The 18,013-nt window shown below is 44.1% G+C and overlaps 1 protein-coding gene across 33 annotated transcripts in view, besides 1 other annotated feature; it reads left to right on the forward strand.

Moving 5' to 3' along the window:
* The window catches only part of EHF (ETS homologous factor), a 42,196-nt gene that overhangs the window by 19,683 nt on the left and 4,500 nt on the right, over positions 1-18,013 (forward strand). For 11 of the 33 annotated variants that reach the window (NM_001378041.1, NM_012153.6, NM_001378042.1 and 8 more), the window contains 7 exons: positions 1,853-1,952; positions 5,664-5,909; positions 8,244-8,306; positions 10,767-10,835; positions 10,962-11,030; positions 16,133-16,195; positions 17,758-17,953. In NM_001378041.1, coding sequence (NP_001364970.1) covers positions 1,856-1,952; positions 5,664-5,909; positions 8,244-8,306; positions 10,767-10,835; positions 10,962-11,030; positions 16,133-16,195; positions 17,758-17,953 — 803 coding nt within the window. In that variant the 5' untranslated portion in view covers positions 1,853-1,855. Of the gene's footprint in view, positions 1-1,232; positions 1,574-1,596; positions 1,689-1,852; positions 1,953-5,663; positions 5,910-8,243; positions 8,307-10,766; positions 10,836-10,961; positions 11,031-16,132; positions 16,196-17,757; positions 17,954-18,013 lie in introns of those variants that run through there. The other 22 variants (NM_001378043.1, XM_047426755.1, XM_047426756.1 and 19 more) reach the window with 10 other exon arrangements.
* Positions 9,869-10,118: an enhancer, noted in NCBI's record as "active region_4606". NCBI's record gives its function as "activates an Ori minimal core promoter by ATAC-STARR-seq in GM12878 lymphoblastoid cells {active_cell/tissue: GM12878}" and the evidence as "EXISTENCE:reporter gene assay evidence [ECO:0000049][PMID:35858748]".

Below are 18,013 nucleotides of genomic sequence, written 5' to 3' on the forward strand. Positions count from 1 at the left end.
CTGTAAATTTTCAAGTGGGGAAACTGAGGCCCAGCATCATTTCTGGTTCAGGCTATCCACAGAGCTAGTGACGCTCCTCATGATAACACCTGACGTGTATTCGTGCCCTACTTTGTGCCAGGTGCTCGAGGTACAGAAACTCATTTAATCTCCAATCAATGTACAGACGAGGTATGATTAGCTGCATTTTGCATATGAGAAAACTGGGGTTCAGAGAGGTTAGGTAACTTGTCTGGGTGAGTACTAACCTTAGCTAGTAAGTAGGAAGGCTTGGAATCGACCCCAGCTCTTCTGGCTTCAAAGCTCCTATACATGGTGCCAGGACATATAATCCAGTCCTCCTATCTTCCCACCCAGTGGCTCTTTGCTGTTATAATGTCCATCATCCCTACCCTGTCTTTCCTTCTCCACCTTCTACTTAGGCTGGATTCAGTCCTAATTATTTACCAAGCAACAGTGATGATGAAGCTAATAATCATCATACATGTTTGTGTGTAGCCTAGTTCAACCTTTAATTACTGCTCTCTCCCCAGCACCTAGAATAGTGCCCAGCCCATTATTGGGCTGATAAATATTTGTTGAATAAATGAATACATGAATATATTCGTATGCCTTTTGCAGACCCCTCTTCTCCCCCAATAGGCCTTACTCAGAACAAGAGGAGCCGTAGCTAAATTAGGGGAAGGAATGCCAAGGGCTGAAAATCCTCTGGGTTGGCAATTGTAATCCTGTGGACATTGGTAATACCCGAGGATGCAAAATTTCCCCAAAACAAGCAGAAAATTTTCCATGAATTGCTGCTATAAAGCTGAATTCCTCTCCCCACCCCAACATTTTATAAAGAGCAAGTGACTTTTACAGCCTCTGGGTATTGCCCAATAGCGATCTGGAAACAGGCTGCTCTTCGTTTAAATGACTGAACACACGGTTGGGGATCTGTTCTGAAAGGTGGAGGGTGCCCGCTTGGGAATAGGGACATTATAAATACTGGACAATTGAAGACAATATTTCTGAAGTGTAAAATGTTTGCATTGTTATAAAATAAACCCAAACAGGCCCATGGAAGAAATCTCTTCTCCCAAGTCCTTTACTGAAAAAATGATCCCACAGACTGAGAAAGCCACTTTGACTTAGGTCAGCTTGGAAACCCACTAAATTCTCCAGGTCTCTAACAGGAGAAAAAAAACTGGTTATAATTGTTACCAGAAAGGAAAAATTTTTTTCTTTACCAGAAATGGGCAGTGTCTGTCAGAGAAACCAACTGATTCCTGATATTATCACAAAGCCAGATACTTGAAGAGCTCTATTAAAATATGACTGAGGCCCTTTGATGACCAGCCCAGCCTGTGGCAGATACCCGCACTGAGGAAACTTGTTACTGGGTGTGCAGGTGCGATTGCAGTCCGAGCTCCCACACAGGTGCTGGGGCTGTGCTGCCACCAGCTTGGATTTTCATTGTTTGAAATTGCACTTTAAATACTTTAAATAAAATCTCCTTGGCATTTTCACTTTTGTAAAAAAAAAAGAAAAAAAAAAACTGCTTGGATGCCAGCCAGCCTCGCCCTGGGAGCAGGTATTGCATTTTCCTCCCGCTTCATTCCTGATCAGAGATTATTCATTTATGAATGGGTGGCTGTAAAAACTTGCCTCATGCATATGAAAATTGAACCTGGAAATTTTTAATTGCTGTGAGTTTTGCTTTTACAAAAAACGCTTTGGCAATGGGTGGCAGGCAATGGGTGGAAGGACAAATTCTCTTTATTTTCTTCCTAAATTTACTCTGTGATCTGCACTTTCCAATGACATTTGTCCAAGAGGCACTGACTGAACAGGCTGTTTGATCCCCTAACAGATCATGATTCTGGAAGGAGGTGGTGTAATGAATCTCAACCCCGGCAACAACCTCCTTCACCAGCCGCCAGCCTGGACAGACAGCTACTCCACGTGCAATGGTAAGAGGGCCTGTGGGTGTTGGTGTCACTGCTGTGCTGTGTGGGCTCTTTGCTTTAATTCCTCTCACAACCTAATGTTTGAAAAATATAGGCTTTACAGCAGAAGATGTGGGACAAGAAGGAATGGAGAAAACTCAGTTTTGGAGTTCCCTACCAGCCCCCAGCGTTCCAGACAAAAGCTCGTTTGAGATATTCTATTGCCTCCTCCCAAAATTCAAGGTTCCAGATTGACAGCCTGGCAGTGAAGGGGGGTAGAAGAGATGCCTAAAGGAAAGACTCTCTGTTGGAGCTTTTAATAGTGTTTTGCTGGGATATCAAGATAGGCTAGGAGAGAAAGGGTATGTGTGTGTGTGTGTGTGTGTGTGTGTGTATGTGCGCGTGCATGGAGGTTAGGAAGGAGAGGGTTATAGCAGTTCAATCTTTCTTTTTTCGTCTTCCAGTGGCCTCTCTTTGCAAGGGGAGAGGAGATTTGTAAGGAGAACAGGTGTTCTCCCTAGAGCTTTAATCTAGAACACGTCTATTAGAAGAAGAGGGGACCTGGTGGTGGGGCGTATAGAGGGTTTGGTGATCAAGCCTGTGGCTTCCTGAATCAAGTTGAATCCCTGAATCAAGTTGAATCTCTGAATCAAGTTGTTGCTGAATCGGGAACCCCATACCCCAATTTAGAGCTCTCCAGTTTAGGCATTCAGCTGTGCATCCAACAGCAGTGAGTTTAGGGAGCTCTGGGCCTCTTCTCAATCCACACCCACTGCTAATCTGCCTGCCAGAGGCTCTGCTGTTCAAGTTTGCTTTGAAATATGGAGATGGTTTGTTGGTGACCAGAGCTTGGGAGGAGGCAGAAGTGGGAGGATAATGGGAGAGTTATTCTGCAGCGAGTGCTAATCCATGTGGAGCTCCACCTCTTTTAATTTGGAATCCTAGTCAAACATGGTTGAAAGGGTGAGCAGGTGAGCTTCCCTTACTCGGTCACCTGTCCCCCCAAACTGCTGCACTTTCTGGGCAGTTGCATTTTCTGTTGTGGGCCTCAAATACCCTGTGAGGACCCAGAAAGTGGATTCCAAATAAAACTGGAAGTCTTTGGCATCCCCAGGACCCTGGCCTCTCGATGAAGGCAGCATTTCTCCTGCTTGCTCTGGAGAAAGCTGGGGAAATGTGTTCAGCAGGAAGTAGAACTGGGGTGCCACTTTTATTTCTTAAATTCCAGAGACCTCAAAGAAAGCTCAGCCTTGATTGAGACTGAAGAGGAAAAGGAGATCAGTTGAATGGCAGAGAGGATGTGAACTCATAGGAATTTTTATTGTTTCTCCTGAAACTTCAGGAATTTGGTGGGTTCTCTGTCTGATGCGGAATCTCCCCAGTCAGCTTCAGACAAAAATCCCTGATTCTCCCAAGTTTGAACAAGATACACTAGCAGGGACTATCTTTTAATCTAGACCGTATCAAGTTTGCAGATGAGATTATTCTAGATGTGCTGTTAGGTTATTAAAAGTTGGTGCCTCTTGTTGTCAAAACCAGAGCTGTACTGTCATAGCAACACAATTATTTTAGAAAAAGAAAGATGAAAGACTTGGGGAGCCACAAAATATATATCCCATCCTTAAACAGCTTTATTTGTGAGGCACCAAAAATTGGGGGAAATGGAAAGATCCAGCCCAAGGTCTGTGTATTTGGGACTATTTCCATATAATTAGATTTTTAGATTAGATTGTTCCATTCCTCCCCCAACCCCTGACTATTGGCTTCCTCTTTAGAGCCCACGTTGTGGGCCAGGGGCTGCTTTTGTTTCGCCATGAGGTACGAGGAGCTAAGTGCATACTGTGAGTGGTGGGTATTACTAACGGCAGTCACCTCTGTGTGCTAGATAAACTTGACCTCCTGCTCTTAGTGCTTCTGAGGTCTGGAAGCCATGGATGGATTCTGAATGAATGAGGAAGAAGAGGGATTGGGTCAGAAACATTTCCCTTTCAGTCTCTCCTCTGAGGGTGTTGTGGGCTGGACCATGGGCATTATGGGAGTTAAACCTTTCTGAGGCCTTTAGCTACTTGTAATTCGATAGACCAGCAACATCAGCATCACATGGAAGCTTGCTAGGAATGCAGAAACTCAGGCCTTGCCCCAGACCTGTTGAATCAGAATCGGCATTTGAACAGTATTCCCTGGTGATTCACGATCACGTTTGAGAAGAACTGATCTGGCGTGACCTTGAAGAAAAAGTTAGAGACAGTTTTCTTGCACTACATTTTCTTCTACTGGTCCACCCTTGAATTTGTTGGAATATCCATGTGTCACGTTCTGTTGGATTTCCCCTGCTTCAGCTTGGTGGGATGCAATAGTCTTTGCCCCTTGCCCCTTTCACTCATCTTTCCTGAAAGAGAGTTCCTTCCCAACATCTATTTCCAAGGGAACTGTAAGCTCTCTCAGCCCTGTTACATGCCCTCAGATGCTGGTTTGTCTTTTCCATTGCCGCAGAACTTCGGGCAGACTATGGAATGTTTTTTTAAGTGAGCATGAGTCACATATACAGATGGTTAGCACATATTAGGTTCAGCAATATTTATCCAGTTTAATGAACTGCACTTCTTCATTGGCATCTGAATGTACCATCTTGTGAATGTACCATCTTTTAAACGTACCTCCCAACTCCTCAGATGCCTACCTTATTTCTTCTTCAAAAATACATTCCATTAAATAAATATATGGTGAGCATCTACTATGACAAAGTCTCTGAGGTCATTTTTTAGGTGATACAAAGACAAGTAAAACAGTCTGTGACCTCAAGCATACAATTTACAAAGGAGAATAAGACGGCACTTAGAGACCTGTACAGAAAAGCAGAACATGACAAAGCCATTAGAAATACCAAGCATGTCTCCTGGAGGGTAAGAGGACAGTGAGCCCTTGAAGCAAGTTGGGGGGATTGGGAATGATTTTACAGGATGGTCAGAGTTCGAAAGATGGGTAGGAATTCAACAGGAGTGAGAGGTAGAACACAAGCTTAGCTGAAAGAACAGCATAGAGAAAAGACAAGTTATTGGTTACTTGAAGAAGAGTTAGTGAAGAGCCTCAATGCCTAGCTAGGCAGCTTTATACCTAATTTCAGTGGGTGATGAGGACTACTAAAGGTAACTGAGTAGGGAAGTGACATCATGATAGCTATAATGACTAGGCTGGGGCAGTGGGATATCAGTCCAGTTAGTAGATCAATAATCTGGACCACTTTGAGGAAAAGCAAAGGCATCGTAGAGAAAAGAACCTTAATTTCAGGCCTTATTTTTAGTTGAAAATGGTCTGAGTTTGGTGGTGTGTGTGTGTGTGTGTGTGTGTGTGTGTGTGTGTGTGTATGTATAAGAGAGAAAAAATGAGAGAGAGTGAGTGAGAGAGAAGAGGAAGAGAACGATTTGGGTATGGACAATAAGCTAATAAATTGCTGAAATGATAGCAATGCTCTAGCTTTCATGATATTTTACTTTGGGGGAGGTGGGGGATGAGCTCTGAGCACTTCAGCTCTCTTGTCCTCATCCAGTGTCCAGGGGTAGGTAGCAGGCTAGGGAGGACATGAAAATGCACTTCTGCTCCATCACCCATGCTGGCACATACACGGACTGTGGTTGTGTCTCTGAGATATCTGGCAGCCAACAGTACATCCCTGTGTCAGATACTATGGCCAGGAACAGCCAGGGGTCACTCATGAGGCTGCTTCCTGTTTTGCAGTTTCCAGTGGGTTTTTTGGAGGCCAGTGGCATGAAATTCATCCTCAGTACTGGACCAAGTACCAGGTGTGGGAGTGGCTCCAGCACCTCCTGGACACCAACCAGCTGGATGCCAATTGTATCCCTTTCCAAGAGTTCGACATCAACGGCGAGCACCTCTGCAGCATGAGTTTGCAGGAGTTCACCCGGGCGGCAGGGACGGCGGGGCAGCTCCTCTACAGCAACTTGCAGCATCTGAAGTGGAACGGTGACTCTCTCTTTCTGTGTCTCTCCCTACCCTGCTAGGAGCCAGCTGGAAGAATAGAGATTCTGCAGATGACAGGATTCTTTGTCAGGGACAAGAAAGAGTGGTCTCACCTCCAAATTACCATGTCCCAAGACAGAGAAATGGAAGGAAGATGAAAGGACAGGATTGAAGCATAGGGTACCTGGTGTGCCTAATCCCTTATAAATGCCAGTGTAATTTAATTCTTTCCTTATGGTGATAATTTTCAAGAAGACAAAAGCTGGCTAGGAATTCGTAGAATACTTACTATCCTTGGAAAATGTTTTCTTTCCTTTGCAAACAGTCCAGTCACTTGCTTGTTAAAAAGATCATCATGGTTACAAAAAAAAAAACAAAAAACAAAAAACAAAACAAAACAAAACCCCCCCCACACACACACACAAAGAACCTTCTAGACCTAGGTTCTTAAGATAGGGTCCTAAGGGTGGTAAGAAGATATATGAAATTAGAACTATGTTTGTGTTTTGGGAGGGGAAAAAACTCACAATACTTCAGCAGATTCTTAAAAGGTCTGTAACTTAAAAAAAGGGTTAGAACATATGGTCTAGACACGTGTATGGGGAATGTTTCTGTGGTGGTTTCTGGAATTTCTGTTGCCCTAATGCCCCAGATGTCTCTCTGAGGCTTCCCCTAGCACAGGGATGGGCCACCATTCCAGATGTTGTCTTTGAGTGGTAGATTATTCATACACGAACATATCCTATACTGACATGTAAGACCTAGTAGGGTGGACAACTGACCTTGCAGAATGGTTTTGACACTGGCATAAGGTTCCCCTGATAGTGGCTGTAAAAATCTAGCTCTTCTGAGAACTATGGGCATCCTGAAAAGTAGCAATATTTAAGAACAGGGAGTTGGCCTGTCTGCACTGGAAAAGGCATTTATGTCTTGGTAGAACCCATGTTTGGGCAAGTAACCGGGACTTGGGCGGCATGAGCTCCAGGGCTGTGAACCAGAGTCATACCCTGGCAACAGCCATCAACACTGAAGAGGACCTGGGGCCTTGCAGCAGAGCTTGTGGCTGCGGTGGCCATTTTAGATGATGTCATTCAGCTCCCTGGCCATGCCCTGCTTCCCACCCACCTCACATTGGTGGCTGCTCTTTTTTCTTTGACTAGAATCAAACCAAACAAGGCTCTATAAATAACCCTCAGGGATCTTCAAAAAGATCAGACTTACACTTGAAGAATTAAAAATATTTACCTCCACCCCCCAATTAAATCCACTCCTTTAAAGCTTTGCCCTGATTGAGGTCTGAGGCAGGGAGGCCTGGGAGGTGCTGTGGCCATCTTAGACCTTCTGTCTCTGACTTCCCATGACTTGTTTGGTCTCATCGCATGCTGCTGTAGCCTCTGAGTTCCTAATGTCCAGGCAGATTGCTCACTCTTTTGTTGTTTGCCTTTGTGTAGACCTTCTATCAACTAACATTTATTGAGTATTTACTTATACTAGGCACTGTAAGTGAATTAATTCATTTAATAACTTTATGACAAAGTAAATATTGTGCCCATTTTACAGGTGGGAAGACTGAATGTCAGAGAGGTTAAAGGCATGGCTTCTGTTCTTGAGATGTTTAGAATCTGTCTGGGGAAGAAAACAGACTAGATTCATATGCATTTACAAATATATATATATATATATAAGCATACATATATATGCTTTTATATATGATAATGGGAGAGGAGTTGCAAGCAAACAAGGTCATGTGATGTGTACTGCTTGTACATGTGCTGAGGCATAAATAAGGAAAGAGTCACCACATTTTATCCAGACATATCTCACAGATTGGATGTAATCATGATGGCATTGATTAGATTTTAAATCAAAGAAGAATCAAGCTAGTTAAAAAGGTTTTTCCCTACATTTTCATTTTCATATCATATCTTAGTATGGGAAAGCACCTTAGAAGTCATCTAGTGACCTTATCTAGTTTAATCTTGTTACAGATGGGGAAACTGAGACCCAGAAAGGTAAAGTGCACACACCTTCCTCATAGCTAGTAGTTGAAAAACTGGGCTTCTGAAGTTCTATTTCCACCATACTGAATGCCTTTACTATACCACATCAAATAATTGCTTCTAAGGTAGTGCCTTAGATTCCCAATTTTCTGGGGTCAGAGACTGCAGGCTTGAGTTTGTAGAGGCTGACAGAGAAACCACCTCCCATAAACAAACATAGGTGACCAGGCAGTAGGATGGCAGAAGCTCTGCAAAGATGCCAGTTCTGTCCTTATTTAAGCATCCAGTTCTGGCTCCATCTGGGCCCTCTCTGACTATCCCAATCTGTCCTTCACAGGCCAGTGCAGTAGTGACCTGTTCCAGTCCACACACAATGTCATTGTCAAGACTGAACAAACTGGTGAGTAGTAGTGGACAAAGGGAGCCAACCTAGCCTGGCAAAGCTCCGGGGAGGACAGTTGGGAGAGGGCAAGAGAGAATGTGGGGGCAAGTTTTTGCAGGAAACACAGGGAGGCCTTTTCCCTGGCTGTCTCTGATGGGCCACCCCCACCATGAATCTCATTCTTGCCCTTGCGACCAGTGACTGCCACCTATTTCCAATTTATAGACTTATGGGGAGCCACACTTCTCTGCCTCCTACTCCTGGTTGTGGCATCATCCAGACCTCAGGCCAGCAGCCAAGGAAAAGCAGAATATATGGTGGGCCTCCCCACCTTAAAAAGTGTCAGGGGAGTGGCCAAGTTTGGAAAGAGAAGAGGAAGGGGCAATGTCTCCTCTTCTCTCCCTCCTCCCTTGATGGGTGTGTGTTTCACAAAAAGGGTGAATATACTAACTTGGTATTGTAGTTAACAAATTTTTAGGGGCCCTGGGGAGCTTCTGCAGAGATGTACAAAGGTACCTGCAACCCAGCTCCTGCCTTAGGTGTGTTTTTATATGAAGGACAAAATGCTGGGCTCTGAGCAGAGTCTACAGTCCCATAGCATCTACATTCATTTTCGTTTCCTTTCCCCTGTCCTAAATCTCTCTCCTGGAGACTGTCCTCCAAAGTCCATGAGCCATCATAAAACTGTGCAGCAACTATTGCTCCTAAGTCACTCCCCATGTTCATGCCTGGGAGCCTGGGAGCCACGTGGGCCAACCAAGCTTTCCATAGACCTCCCTGAGGATGTGTCCCAGTCACCAAGGACAGAATTTGACCTGCAGGTGATTTGTGAGTCACTTGGGGCCAAAATTGGCCCATGCAGTTATTTACCCTTTCATAAGTGGGCTGGCCTACCATTATTAAAGAAAAAAGCAATAGCTGCTAAGCATGCAAATTAGGCTTTGCTAGCCCTGCCTTTCTCTTCAGAGGCCAGGGGATGGGCCATCTGGATGTTCTGTGCTTTACAGGCCTGGCCTTGCCCTAGAGATGGATGCAGGACTTGGTCAGGAGGATGGCACCCCCTCCCCTGCTTGACCTGTCAGATAGCCCCACCGAAGGAGCCAGGGTAATACTGGAGAGGTCCCAAATAACTTGATAATTCCTTCTTGACCATCCAGACATTCTTGTGTTGCCAGTTCAGAAAAGCTGAGTGGAAGGGTGGAGAAGAAGGTCCACCCTAGGAGGAGGGGAGAAGAAGCTCATAGAGGGGCCAACACCCCCATACCTCTTTGGTTCAGTTTGTTTTCAGAGACAACAACAGGTGTACAAGGTGACCCAACAAGGAGAGAGGGTGTAACCCCAAGAGATTGGGCTTGGGGTGTCCAAACATGTAGCTATTAGCTAAAATACCGGCTAAATCCCTATGTCGTAAACACGAGGACTTAGCCAGTAAGTCAGGTTTTGTATCATTTGTGCTATAAAAACAAAATGAAACTCAGTCAGTGGCTTACACCCCGGCCCTAAAACTCAGAACCCAGCAAGGAGGGGAGCTGAGGGTAACCTAGGTCTGCGGTGAGGAGAAAGCAGGAAGTTTCTGGTGAGGACGAGGTGAGAGATCTTACAGCTTTTGGCTAGCCAAGAAACAAAATGCTTCTGTTGGAGACCAGCCCAGATCTGGGGGTTGCGTAGGAGTTGAGCTCCATTTGGGGTAGGTGGAGGGGAGTTCCCTTTGAATCTGAAATCTGAAGAGTCAGTCAAAGTGAGAGGTGTTTACCGCAGCACACAGAAGAAAGAGAAAGAGAGACAGAGTACAAGAGCACTTCTTTTCTGCGATGGGGCAGTGGGGCTTCACTCTTAAAAGGTGTTTGTTTGATTTAGTAACACAGTCCACCCCTTCTCCTTGGTTTTGTTTTGAGAATTTTATGTCATCCTTTAAGCTAATTGGAAAAATCCTAGAGGGAGGGGGCTGTCACCCAACTTGGATGACAAATCTCTGGATTTCAGCAAGGAAGAAACTGTGATAAGATTGACAAGACTCTTCCTGAAAGAAATATCATTAACCCCCCAAGGCCTCATTAATTATTTATTATACATTTAAATAAATTAATCCCTAACAAGGCCTTCCCCCCCACCACACTCTAGGGTAAAAATATTCTGGTGATTATGCAGTAGAATGCAGAACAAAGCCAAGCCAGGTTAGGAAAATTCCCAGGAACCACTTGGTCTAGGACAGGTTCCCATTCTTGCAACTTCTCTCACTTCCCTAAAAATGCAATAGGTACAGAACACATGGATGAGGCCATTTCCCCGAGGATGCTGAAAGGAAAATTAGACAACATTATTATAAAGTAACGCAGCTGAAGCAGAATCATATCCCTTGTCTCTGAGGACCACTCCTCACCCCCCATACTTTGTTGATGAACAATGAATTAGAAAACGCAGCCTCTTCTCCCTGGGGAAAAGAGATCGCTGACTATTCTCCTTCTCTATTTTTTGTAGAGCCTTCCATCATGAACACCTGGAAAGACGAGAACTATTTATATGACACCAACTATGGTAGCACAGTAGGTAACTAACTCCCTGACACTTAAGGCCCTTTACATTCTTATTCAGTTTGTCTAAGAGCCACAGTGTTCTATTGTGAGGTGGGGGGAGGGGGTGCTCTAAATGTCCTTTATCTTTTCATGGCCACAGATTTGTTGGACAGCAAAACTTTCTGCCGGGCTCAGATCTCCATGACAACCACCAGTCACCTTCCTGTTGGTAAGCTGTCATCACATCTGAGGCTGGGTATGCCTAATGCTTAGGGAGAATCAGTGGGAATTACCAACACTCTACATTTCTGCCTTTCTGGAGTCTTTCTAATTAAAGGGCTAGGAAAGGGATGGGGTTACCATTAGACGAGGTTTGCTTTTGAGGCAATATTTGTACATCGAAGATGACCCGTAGGGATCCTCTAGGCAAAATGTTGGTCTCCTACGAAACTAGTCACTCTGTTGTGACAATAAAAGTTGTTTAGGCTTTTCTTTATTTTCAATGAAAACTTACTCTTGCAATATAGCTGCTAAAATTATTCATATTTGGGTATACTTATGGGAAATAAGGCTATATTTAATTTTCAACAAACTACATTTGGCTTTAGAGAAAGAATACCTCATAGTAAAATTCAAAGGTCCGTGAACCTGTAGTGATAGTTTCTGGGTGAAGGGGTAGCCATTGGAAACTTCCAGAATCCCCACAGTTACACTATTTTGTCAGTTTTTAAGTCTAATTCCGATGACTCATCAGTGCTCTCTAATCAGTCAGAGCACCTGCATTTTATGAGTTACGTTCACTTTAGCTGCATTTGGTTAAGCTTGGATGCAACTGGGGCTATCCATGCTCCTTAACCAAGGTTACACTGGGTGAGAAGTTTGGGATGTTGGGAGTCTGGGAGAGGGGATTTCAGATTACCACCCCCACCTACAAATAGGTGCATTGGCGTGTACAGTGTGGGAAATGGTTGAAAGAGGATCTTATGGTTTCCCGTGATCTGAGTATGAACTTGTGGATCTCTTTGGGTCTATGAAATGGCACTTAGACATCAGTCACAAGTGATAGTGCCTCTCTCCTGGAATTAAATTTGGAGCAACTTCAGAAATGGGATTTAATTGGGTCTTTGTGAAAGAAATTAGTCTGCAACCCTTCCTTCCTCTTTTTTTCTGTTTTTGTTTTTGCTTTTGAGAACTGAAATAATGAAAGGTTTTGGTTTGAGGTTTTGTTTGGGTCAAGCCCCTTAAATGAGATGGGGCTGGGAGCCAATGTAAATGCTTCTGGAATTGAGATTAAGAGCTGAGGCCAGCATAGCTCTCGACTTCTCCTTCCCCCAGTGGTCCTTAGCATTATGTGTCACTTGAGGTATTTGTTAAAATTAGGGAATAGATCAAACACTGGCAAGGCTTGGCTGTGTATTTGCTATTCTGGGGGAACTGAGCCAACCGGGGTAAAATTTCTGTGGCAATCATTGCCACTCAGTCAAGACCATGGGGTTCAGGGCTGAGGAAACCTCCCAAGTCACACTCTGAGTTCCTCTGCGACTTCCTACAGTGTCATCTCCCACATCCTTCCATCCTTCCATCCTTCCATCCTTCCATCCTTCCATCCTTCCATCCTTCCACTTGGGTCTTTGACTTACGGCAAAAAATTCCAACTAAGAATAAAGCTGAACCAACCACTTCCTGAGCCTCAGGGGCTAGTAGGTCTTGAGGCACCCGGGAAACAAAAACATCATAGTTACAGCTCTGCTGCCCTGACAGCTGGGCCATCCTCTTTTCTACATCTTGACTTACACCTTCTAGAATCTCAAAATCAATAGGGGCCTTAGAGGCCAGTTTCTGCTTTTGCATTTGCAGTAGCAAGGAACTCGCTCTCTCCTGAGTCCACCGATTGTATTTTTCAATAGTCCTTCTTAAGATGGGCTCAGGAATCTTCTCTCCTTACCCTTCTGATCCTTGTTTGCTGCAGCTCCCCATTTCTATCCTGTGATTGTAACCCAGGCTGGAAAATGAGATCAATCACCCAGGCCCTAAAGAATCAATGCAGTCTCTGGGGTTGGTGTATTCATTGGGGTAATAGCCCTTCAGTAGGATAGTTAATTACAGCCTTATATGGGTCAGTTTCTTTCAGAATAGTTTATAGTCTCTACTGCATGGAAGCAGAACCCCGGAAAAACCTTGGTCATTTGCCTGAGTCTTTATTTTTCGAGCTCCCATGTAATTGAATGCAGTGAAATATCTTTCTATGTTTTAATGCTAGTTACCAGCTGAGCTAAGGCGAGGCCCAGCGTAAACTGATGCCCTCTGTGATAAACGCAGGTGGGGAAATAGGCTTTGTTTTGATTTCTCTGTCATCTGCCCATTTCATAAAATGCCCGCTGCCGGTGTCCTGTTCTGCTCGACAGTCCTCCAGCCTGTCATGCCAGCTCGGGCTTGATGTGTTTATCCACTGACTTGTTGAGCCTAAAGCTAGGGTGGCACGGTCTATTAGAACACTGAAATTTGTATATCCCGTAAAGAAATGGCTCACAGCTGAATCATATGCAAATGCTTCTAATCTTTGCTTCTTGCGAAGCAGCTTAGCTGAAGTCACGCTCTCTCACTTGCATCACAAACCTGTGGCTTGTTGCTGCCCCTGCCTGGACTGGATAGGACCTTGGCCTGGAGTGCCTGGGAGCCAAGCAAGAGAAAGCCAGGCTGGACAACTTCTCCAGGGCAAGCCATTATTTTATAAGAATGAATCACTTAACCACATGGCTAACTTCAAAGGTCTTGACTTTTATCCTAGGGCAGAAGAAGGACACATATTAAAGAGAGGTTAAAGATCAAAAGATATCAGTGGTAAAGCAGGCCAGTGATTCCACGGCTTACCCCTGCACACTGCAACAGGCAGAGAGGTCTGGAAGAAATTAGGTTCTTCTTTTGCCTTTGACTGCTTATTCCCCTTTATGATGATGGAAAGATTTTTATTTGGGGATTAAAAAAAGAACGTTCCTAGCTGGGTGGAGCCTAGCTTGGGTAAACGGCTGACAACTCAAAGAATATTTCCTCATGGTTTATCTAGTGTAGAGGTTTTAGAGTCCATGGACTGCTGCATGGGCCACAGCCCCCTGAAATTGTTGACAAAATTTCATGTGTACATATATGTGCATTTTTTTCTGAGGAGAGGGTCCAAGGTTTTCGTCTTATTCACAAAGGCACCTGAACTCTGAAGTAACTGATTCTAGATCAACTAGGAACCCACAAACAATAATTGAGGCCAATATACTGAGAGACTCTTGTATTTTTCTGAATTCAACTCCTGGCTCTGAAATAATGGCCCTGCATCCCTCCTGGATGTCATTTGAAAATGAGCTTTGCTTGTGGCCTGCTGGGTAAATGCCACTCTTTGTCTGCAGTACAACGTGGCCCTGTCAGAGTGATGTATCACTTGGAAACCGGGGTGGATGCCAGACCTGTCGCAATATTGTCACATCCTGATGGGATGTTGCAACCTCACCCTGCAACCTACAGGGAGGGAGAGTGAAGTCTCCTTGCATTTCCTGTGAATTTGTCCTCTCGGATTTCAGAGAAACCCAAGTCAGGTGCAGGCCCTGCTAGTGACAATGCCAGGAGAGAAATTCTTAACCAGGATGAGAGGTTTCTTGTTTACTGAGGTCTTATTAAATCCCTCTCTCCATCCTGCCATGACGTTTCGAGAAATTGCTGGGAACACTGAGTCTTGATTAGCTGGGTGATAAGATGGTTGAAAGGGCCCATGAACGTTGGGAAATATAGAATTGTCAGATTGAAATTATCTTTTCTACTAACAAGAGCATTACAGAAGTGAACCTGATTCTTGGCAAGAAAGGCTTGTGTGAAATCTGTTATGTGCAAAGGGAGATTATGTGCCGGCCACCATTTCTGGAAATGACATAGAATCATGGTTATGAGTAAAGCTTCTGGATTCAAACTGTTTGTGTTCATATCCTGGCTCCACATTCCAGCTGTGTGACTCTAGTCAAGTCATTTGACCCCTCTGTTTCTCAGATCCTCCACAGCTGAAAACTGTGGATCATATTAGTACCTGTGTCATAGAGTTATTGTGTGAATTAAATAAAGTGATTCATTTAAAGTGCTTAGTACAGTGCCTGGTACATAGTAAGTGCTCAATAAACAGTAGCTTTTTTTTCTTAACCAATTTAATTAGGAGCTAATGGCTGGCAGTTCATAGCTTTTTTGAATAATAGGCTTCTCCTGATAATTGAATGGATGCTGTGAACCCTCTCCCTTCATATATGGTTTCAGTCAGTCCAGGGGCCCTTGAAGGCCACACTGGGTCAGTGGACCCTAGTTTAGGAAGGGCACATGAAAGAGATCAGTTTTACTGGCCCAATTTCTTAAAATAATTGGCTTGTATTTAGGGACTACTTTGTATTAAAATTGGCTGATTTTTGAGTGTGAGAGTCTTTGTAAGATCTACTTTGGTCCTCCCAATACACACACACACACACACACACACATATACACACACACACTCACACTCACACACACACGGCTAGATCATTTAGTTTTCTTTCTGAGAAGAATTTTTATTTCCCAGGTCCGCCTCCATCATCTCCTCTTTGGTAATAGTCGCAGAGGTTGCCATAATGAGTCATTTGTTAAACTAATCTGTGTTTCCATAGTCCACTGTGGCCCTCTGTATTGAGCTTGGGCCACTCAATGGCGCCTTTGTCAGGCTGATTAAAATGTAACTTTGCATGCCAAAAAAGGGCACTCCTCTGGCTTAAAAGTCATCTTCCTTTGTTATAAATGTTTACATTTTTCTATTATGCTAAAAAAAAAAAACCACAAATTTTTCAATGATCTAAATCTTTCAATGGCTTCCATCTTTCTCAGAGTCATGTCCTTAAAAGTCCCATAAGGGATTAATGATCAGAACCTCAGCTCCTCCCTCTCTGCCTCTTACAGCATGCATATACCAAACACACATCAACCTCAGGGCCTTTGCACTTCTATGTTACACATGGAAGGCTGTTGCACAAGCTCTCTGCATGACCTTTTCCCTCATATCCTTTAGGTCGTGGAATCAGAGAGGTCTCCTATGACCACCTTGTATCAAATTGCAAATTATTCCCAAGTCCATACATCTATCTCCATTTCTTAACCTGCATCATTTTTCTCCATAGCATTTATCATCTCTGTTTTGTTTGGTTCACTAGCACATACTCAAAGGTGCCAGGCATGCAGTAGGTGCTCAGTAAATATTGTTTAAATGAGTGGATGCATGAATAAAAAAGAGAATTATAGGAAATAGGTCAATTAAACGCCTCTCATTTTTCTCCTTAGCAGAGTCACCTGATATGAAAAAGGAGCAAGACCCCCCTGCCAAGTGCCACACCAAAAAGCACAGTAAGTTGGCTGGCTTTCAGATGGCCTTTGGTCCTTCCCATCACATCGGGCACATCTGGAGGCCACTAGTTTTTTGGCAAATATCGCCTCTGTCTGCTGCCTTCATGTCTTCATCCCAAACAGGGTGGAGTGAGAAAATAGAGGCATCACTTGCTAGCAAAGTAAGCCCCCTCTGCAGCTGTTTCTCAAAGTGGAGCCCCACTGGACATTTCCTCCCTGTTCTGTCATATGTGCTCTAAAACTGAGACACCCAGTGCCTAAGAACTGCTTGCAGGCATGGGGTTGGCAATTTCCTCTCTCCCAGAAGAAAAGGGTGGGAAGAGGAGCGAGATAAGAAGAAACAGCTGAGATGTATCATCCTTTCTTTTGCTAAATGTTGGCCTCCTACCTTTGTGGAGTTACCATTCCAAGAAATGACTGTTTTTTCTTAAGATTCAACACTGCTCTTTGGGAGTTGGGTCTCCTTCAGTAATAAAATCTTATGAACATATACGAAATATCAGAGACATGGAATTGTGGGTGGAACACAGAAAGAAATCAAGATGGTATAATCTAGGCCTGTAATCCCACCACTTTGGGAGACTGAGGTGGGTGGATCACTTGAGCTCAGGAGTTCAAGACCAGCTTGGGAAACATGACGAGACCCCATCTCTACAAAAAAATACAAAAATTAGCTGGGCATGGTGGCACGTGCCTGTAGTCCCATCTACTTGGGAGACTGAGGCAGGAGGATTGCTTGAGCCAGGGAGGTCTAGGCTGTGATGAACTGTAATTGCACCACTGTACTCCAGCTTGGGCCACAGAGTGATATCCTGTCTCAGAAAAAAAAAAAAGGTATAATCCAGAAATTATGAGGAATTAGAATGTCTTTATCTGCTCTTTCACATAATCCCACAAAACCATATTAATGCAACCCCTCGAAAGGTGGGTGGGGTGGGGGTGGGGCATCAAAAATTCAGTGGGAGTAAAGTTGAATTTGGTTGATAATCTTATTGCAGTAGTGGCTTCATTTTCAAATTGGGTCCTCCAGTCCCTGCGTGACCACCCCTTTCCCTACCACCCTCATCTATTCTGGGAGTAAACATTCTAGACCCTTACTGATTTGCATTTGGCTGAAACACAGTTGCTGGGTCAAAGCAATTTAATTGGTTGAGATACTGGATAAAAGTGGTTGAGAGTTGCTCTCTGGGGAAGTAACAGGTTGAAGTGAACCCCAAGCAATTTGTGGATAATAACTAGAAGAAACTTCCCCCTGGCTTAGGAGACCTAAGACCTATTGCTTAGTCTTGGCTATGTCACTAGTTAGCTGTGTGATCCTGATCAAGTCACTTAAGTTCTCTGTGCCTCGGTTTCCTGATTTGTAAAATAAAATATTGTGCTAGTTTATTCTTAAATACCTTTTTAATGTCCAACATCTGGTGATTCTGCGATCCATCTTCCCTGACAAGTAGGGGAGAAATGAGTATCTCCTACTTGCAGGAAGATGACCTAACTCAATGCTCTCTGCCCTATCTTTGCTGTGACTTAGATCATTAGTAACCTGCCTTTCTGCTTTTCATCAGACCCGAGAGGGACTCACTTATGGGAATTCATCCGCGACATCCTCTTGAACCCAGACAAGAACCCAGGATTAATAAAATGGGAAGACCGATCTGAGGGCGTCTTCAGGTTCTTGAAATCAGAGGCAGTGGCTCAGCTATGGGGTAAAAAGAAGAACAACAGCAGCATGACCTATGAAAAGCTCAGCCGAGCTATGAGGTGAGGAGTTTCATGTCTCTGAAAACAAAAAGGCTGTACGACCCATTATTTACCTAGCAA

The sequence above is a fragment of the Homo sapiens genome, chromosome 11 (assembly GCF_000001405.40).
Source record: "Homo sapiens chromosome 11, GRCh38.p14 Primary Assembly".
Lineage (NCBI taxonomy): Eukaryota > Metazoa > Chordata > Mammalia > Primates > Hominidae > Homo > Homo sapiens.